Below are 6697 nucleotides of genomic sequence, written 5' to 3'. Positions count from 1 at the left end.
AAGCTTTAAGATGTGCTTCTGTGTGTCTGTATATCTGTGTGTCTATATATGTTATGTTCATGTGATATTTCTATGTGCTCTAAAATGATACTTGGTAGATAAAGCTAGTTTTAAAATTGTTGGTATAATAAAATAGGAATATCTCCAGAATTGTCAGTATTAAATATAATTCAAACATTTTTGCCTGGATCTACTGATCAGACAGGTTTACGCTGTCTCTAATACATGTTTTAAGGCAACAAAACTGCTGCTTCTATAATATTTTTGATACTTGCTTGATTTATCTGTAAGCTAAAGCTATAAGGGCTGGCTGTTGGGCTCCCCTGAAGGTTTGCACACATCTTACTGGGAGCTTACATAAGTATTTGGTTTTGAGCCTCTGGATACTGGGGCCTGGTCAAGTGGCTATTGTGGGCTTGGGGACACATCCTGTGTTGTCAATGCCTGGGCCACCAGCTCCAATGCAGAGCCAGGCCCAATATGGCCCAGCTTTGCTTCTTGGTTATACTAGGAAGAGTCAGATCCTCCAGGCATTCTCTTTACAGCTCCATCCAGTGTTCTGACCTCTACACCTGCTGTGTAAATTCAGGATTCAGAAGGTCCCTGCCTTTCGTAGCTGTCCCGGGTGCCATGTGGTATTTGAGACTCAGTATGACTGTAGAAGACATTAGGTAGTGTACCTGTGTCATAGTTTGAAGATTCTTTTCAGTAATTTAAAAATCTTAAAGACACATTATGTTAAATTAAGTAACAGATAATCATAAAATGTTTGAGTCATTTCTAAGTTATTATAAAATACTAAAACACTAATTATTAAACATAAGCTTAAGTTTCTATACTTCATCTTATTTTACATCGTATAGAAAAGCTAAATATATTTAGATCTGTTAGTAAATAAAAAAAATTGAGGAAACATATCTCTTTTATTTTTTGAAATGAGAGTCTTGTGTTGCCCAAGCTGGTCTTGAGTTTCTGGCCTCAAGTGATCCTCCTGCCTTGGCTTCCCAAAGTGCTGGGATTACAGATGTGAACCACCATGCTCAGCTGGGAACATATCTTTCTAAAAATTTATGAAATGGTTTTTATCTATAAATACTGATATAAAACAGTTCAGATTACTTCCTAGGTTTTTCACTGGAAATTAGGGTTACTAAGGGTTGAAACTGTAGTTAATTTTAATTGTAATAGTTAATTGTAGTTAAAAGTACGAGATAAAAAAGAAACAATTCGGTATACGGAGCATATTAAGTGAGATACGGACAGAAAGAGGGACACAACAGAGGCAGGTAAGAGCTGCTGCCCTGCCGTAGCCATGACTGTGGTGAACTTGCCCACCAGAAGAATATGAAAAAGCAGAGTGACTTGGTTAAGGGGAAAGCACCAAGATGATGGGCTTTCTGTTGCCTCCTGCAAGCAGAGGGACTTGGAGACCATTCAGCAGAAGCAGAAAAAGGCAAATGAGAAGGAGAACCCAGGCCGGGCATGGTGGCTCACGCCTGTAATCCCAGCACTTTGGGAGGGCGAGGCAAGTGGATTACCTGAGGTCAGGAGTTCAAGACCAGCCTGGCCAACATGGCAAAACCTCATCTCTACTAAAAATACAAAAAAAAATTAGCCAGGTATGGTGGCACACGCCTGTAATCCCAGCTACTTCGGAGGCTGAGGCAGGGGAATCACTGGAACCCAGGAGGTGGAGGTTGCAGTGAGCTGACATCATGCCACTGCATTCCAGCCTGGGGAACAGGGCGAGATTCCATCTCAAAAATAAAAATAAAAAAGGAGAAGGAGGACCCAAGTAGATTTGTGGCTTTGTGTCCAGCCCTCTTGCCGTTTGCCAGTGTGCCTGAAGCCAGTCCAACCGTACTCACATTTCCTCCTGTAGTGCTCACAGGTACCAGCACCGATGGCATTCCCTTTGCCCTGAGCCTGCAGGGCATCTCTTTTGTGCTTCCTTCCCCTGAGGTAGCCTCTCTCCCCCCGGGCCACTCCTCAGGGTCAAGTGGTCTTCCCTTCCCAGTGTTTTTTATTCCTGTGGGGCTCACTCCAAAGTATGAAAAGTCACATTGTAATTCAAATAAATAAATAAAGTGAGATGGGTGTTTTTTGGTGAAGAACGTTATAAAAAAGACATGAGGATGAGTATGTTGTCAAACAAAAAGTAATTTTGTCTCTTTTTGAGGTTATGTAAAAGTTGTTTCAAAATGAAGGAAAATATGCTATAGATAAAACTAAATGAATATAAATGTTGGGGAAAGAAGATAAAAAGAATTATACAAGAGATTATAATCTTATAAGATTGTAAGATATTATGTAAGAGGTTAAAAGAGATTATTTTATAAAATACAAGGTATCCATTGTATGGAAATCTTATTTTTGTGTTCAAAAGCTGGCTGAGATTAGATGTATTTGTTTATGAGGGTTTTTTTTTGTTTTTTTTTAAGAGATGGGATCTTGCTCTGTCACCCAGGCTGGAATGCAGTGGTGTAACCTTAGCTCACTGCTGCCTCCAACTCCTGGGCTTGAGGGATTTTCCTGCTGCAACCTCCTGAGTACCTAGAACTACAGGTGTATGCCACCACTCCTGGCTAATTTATTTTAATTATTTTTTTATCATTATTATTTTTGTAGACATAAGGGTCTTGCTACATTACCCAGACTGGTCTCAAACTCTTGGCCTCAAGTGATCCTCCTGCCTCAGCCTCCCAAAGTGCTGGGATTACAAGTGTGAGACACCATACCCACCCTCTGTTTATAAAACTTTCTTAAAATTAATTTTAGTATTGATAATACACTAATACAAAAGTAAAATTTGATTTTCTTCTTTGAAGAAGGAGTTTGTGAAGTATTAATATGCGAGAGAGCAAAAGAAATATTCTTCACCCTTTAAGTAAACTGCAAAAAAAAAAAAAAAAACAGGGAAGAGAAGGAGAGACAGATTGTGTTTCATGCTGTCTTTATTAGGTCTTTTGATTATTTGGAAAACTGACCCTCCTCTCCATCAAAGAATAAACGTTTTTGCTTTTTAAAACCTTTTAATGGCCAGGTGTGGTGGCTCACACCTGTAATCTCAGCACTTTGGAAGGCCGAGGTGGGCAGATCACGAGGTCAGGAGATAGAGACCGTCCTGGCCAACATGGTGAAACCCCGTCTCTACTAAAAATACAAAAAAATTAGCTGGGCATGGTGTCACGTGCCTGTAGTCCCAGCAACTCAGGAGGCTGAGGCAGGAGAATTGCTTGAACCTGAGAGGCGGAGGTTGCAGTGAGCTGAGATTGCACCACTGCACTCCAGCCTGGGTGACAGAGTTTGTCTCAAATAAAATAAAATTCTGATATATTATCAGTCATAATTGTGCTTATTATGTTAAATTATTGTAAGCCACACAAATAAGCAAATTTTCTTGTCAATTGCATCTTTAACCACGACCATTTTAAGTCTTGTCCACAGTTAATTGCTTAATGCTTACGCATTTTCTGAAAGCTCTTCACAAGCAAGTAAAATTCTAAAGTATTGTATCTTTAAGCAGGTCGGCTCCTGGAAAGGATGGAAAGGACGCTGACAAAAACTCTTAAATACAGATTTCTGATTACTTTAGGATCATTTGGACAAAGAAAGAATTCCCAGAACTCTAATGAAAAGATTGACTGGTTTATAAAACTGCTAACTCAAGCAAGATATTAATTAAATGCCAAAGAAATACTTTGCCAGATTTTCATGTTAAAGCAGCCAGTACCAAAATTATTAAGATATGCAATTTGAATGAGCTCCACAGTCCAAGGCAAATTACCTATGATAACCCATTTAATAAGCAATGCTATGTACCTGAATTGAAGAAACAAAGTTGGTATTTAAGAGGATATAAATCCAATGTTAAGCATGGATTAAGTGCAAATCATTCTTTGCTCAATTAAACCCTGTTAAATTTGTCTAGTTTCTCTTTTAACACTAATAAGTAGCCAAGCCAGGATTTCAACCTGGTGGTCTGGTACCTAAAACCCACTCTCTTAACCACTATACCATAGTGTCCCTGAGTTATTAGGAGCACCTGTTAAATACACAGGCTGTTAAGAGTCCAGTGGTGATTATGTCACCTTCTTGCACTTATTTAAGTTCTTGCCCCTTTCTGAGTGTCCCTGTCTTCATCTGTAATGCCAAGGAGATGAACTAGATTTTTAGGGACCCCCCAGTCCTCCTGTGTGTGCTCTATCTTCACAAGTGGACTAAACCAAAAACTAAACCTTTTATGATGCAAGCTTTTATTGTCTGTTAGGAAGAACTTAATGGAGGCTTTCAAAGGTTATTGAGGACCGAACGTCCTGGGCCAAAAAGCTGTAAACTAGAATACAACATTCATTTCAAGTCATTCATCCTAGGAATGTATGCTGAGCACCAACTGGTGCTAGATTCGGTGTTATCCACTGGATATCACAGTGCATAGGAGCCACACAGGACCTTCCTCATGGAGCAAATAGCCTGGGGGTAAGAGTCAGGCTAAGGGTGGGACCCACCAAACAGACTGAGGAACTACACGGAGATGAATGTGATGCTTGGGATGCCATGAGCAAGCATAGCGACAGGATCTGGCCTTATGAGAAGGATCAAAAGGACATGATTTTTATTTTGTGATCATGGCCGGCTCTGAGAGTTTGTTCTCTAGGACTGCTGAGGGCTCTGCATCAGAGACACAATGTTTTAGGCCACACTGTCTTTTATTGCCATTATATGTTTGCCCAACCTACTCTTATTGCCCGAGTAGCAATGAGAATAGGGCAAATGACCTCAGGGTGATATTTGGATCCCTGCTTCTCATTTCATCAACACTGCAAAACCCACATGACAGCCAGGAACACAACAGAAGGACTGCAAGTGCTTTCCCCCACAGAGCGGCCATGACCAGGCGGCTTTCCACTCAAAAAGGGACCAAAAGAGGAGTGGGCAGAGCTGACCAGGTGGGCCTGCAATAGGGAAGCAGCAGACAGGAAGACGCTACAAATTGGAGCACTCCAGCATGAGCTGCCTGGAGTTGGTTCTAATGTGGCCTGACTGCCCCATCAAAAGATGATGAGGGGAGTTGGTGAAATGTAAACGCCTTCCATTTGTTCCACTCAGGGTGCTATTAGGAGCACACGGAAAGAATTTTGGTGTCAGATTTTTATCCAAAAAGCCTCACTTGGATAACGGGATATTCCGCTTACATAACTTGCTTCTGATAGGACTTCCCTCATATTTTCTTAAGCTCTCCTACTTCAAGCCTCACTCACAAAAGCAAGCTTGTCCAACCCATGGCCCACGGGCCACACATGCAGCCCAACACAAATTTGTAAACTCTTAAAATATTATGAGATGTTTTTGTGATTTTTTGTTGTTGTTGTTTTTAGCTCATCAGCTATGAGTAGTGTTAGTGCTTTTTTTGTGTGTGGACCAAGACAACTCTTATTCCAATGTGGTCCAGGGAAGCCAAACAATTGGACACTCCTGCACAAAAGCAAAGCTTTAGTTTCTTTTTTTCATCCTTTCTGTCTTTCATTTTCACAACAATGGCAGCAACTCCATGTTAAGCTCCCACTGGGTGGAGATGACTCCCAACTCTCAGTACTTCTCAACAACCCTTTGACATCAGTCATCCTTCTCCCCTCATAGCTGAGGCTGCAAAGATTCAGTGACCCAACTGTCATGCATCTGGGTAGGGGTCAACTGAGCAAGGATCTTCCTGAAGCCACAGGCGCCTACCAGCCCCCAAATGCTGTTTTCCACCCCCATCATAAGTGCTACAGAAACTTGAAGACACTAGAATCTTTATGGTTCTCCTGAGCTGATTCAATTTATAGTTCCTGGCCAGGCGTGGTAGCTCATGCCTGTAATCCCAGCACTTTGGGAGGCCAAGGCAGGTGATCACCTGCGCCCAGGTGTTTGAGACAGCCTAGGCAACATGGCGAAACATTTCCTAGCTGGGCTTGGTGGCGGCACATGCCTGTAATTCCAGCTACTCGGAGGCTGAGGCAAGAGAATCACTTGAGCCCAGGAGGCGGAGGTTGCAGTGAGCCGAGATGGCGCCACTGCACTCCAGCCTGGGTGACACAGCGAGAGTTGGTCTCAAAAAAAAAAAAAAAAAGTATAGTTCCTATGTTTAGTCACTCACTACTGATGTTGTTTTTTGTTTTTGTTTGTTTTGAGACTGAGTCTCACTCTGTTGCCCAGGCTGGAGTGCAGTGGCATGATCTTGGCTCACTGCAACCTCCCCCTCCCAGGTTCAAGTGATTCTCCTGCCTCAGGCTCCCAAGTAGCTGGGATTACAGGTGCCCGCCACCATGCCCAGCTACTTTTTGTATTTTTAGTAGAAACAGGGTTTTGCCATGTTGGCCAGGCTGGTCTCAAACTCCTGACCTCAAGTGATCCGCCCACCTCGGCCTCCCAAAGTGCTGGGATTACAGGTGTGAGCCACTGCGCCCAGCCTACAAATGTTTTAACATTGGTTTGAGGACACTTTTAAGTAGTCTTACAGCTTCTCTAAAACTTTTGAATTTTCCCCCAAAAAAGTAATTTTTCTAAGTTTAACTTGGGGCCAGAGTTTAGTTGTTGCTGTTATTTAATATATAGTGGGCTTTTTAACTGATTATCTTGTTGTTTTATTTAGTATCATGAAGAACTTGCTACATCTACTTCAAGGGAATAAAATTATACCAGAATAGATTTATGG

The 6697-nt window shown here is 41.8% G+C and overlaps 1 pseudogene; it reads left to right on the top strand.

Annotated features, from left to right (window-relative positions):
• The first annotated feature begins 1344 nt into the window (after positions 1 to 1344).
• On the top strand, positions 1345 to 5178 carry LOC101926973 (small EDRK-rich factor 2-like; annotated as a pseudogene).
• The last annotated feature ends 1519 nt before the right edge of the window (positions 5179 to 6697 follow it).

Source organism: Homo sapiens, chromosome 9 (assembly GCF_000001405.40).
Source record: "Homo sapiens chromosome 9, GRCh38.p14 Primary Assembly".
NCBI classification, from domain to species: domain Eukaryota; kingdom Metazoa; phylum Chordata; class Mammalia; order Primates; family Hominidae; genus Homo; species Homo sapiens.
This window is presented reverse-complemented; position numbering and strand designations above follow the sequence as displayed.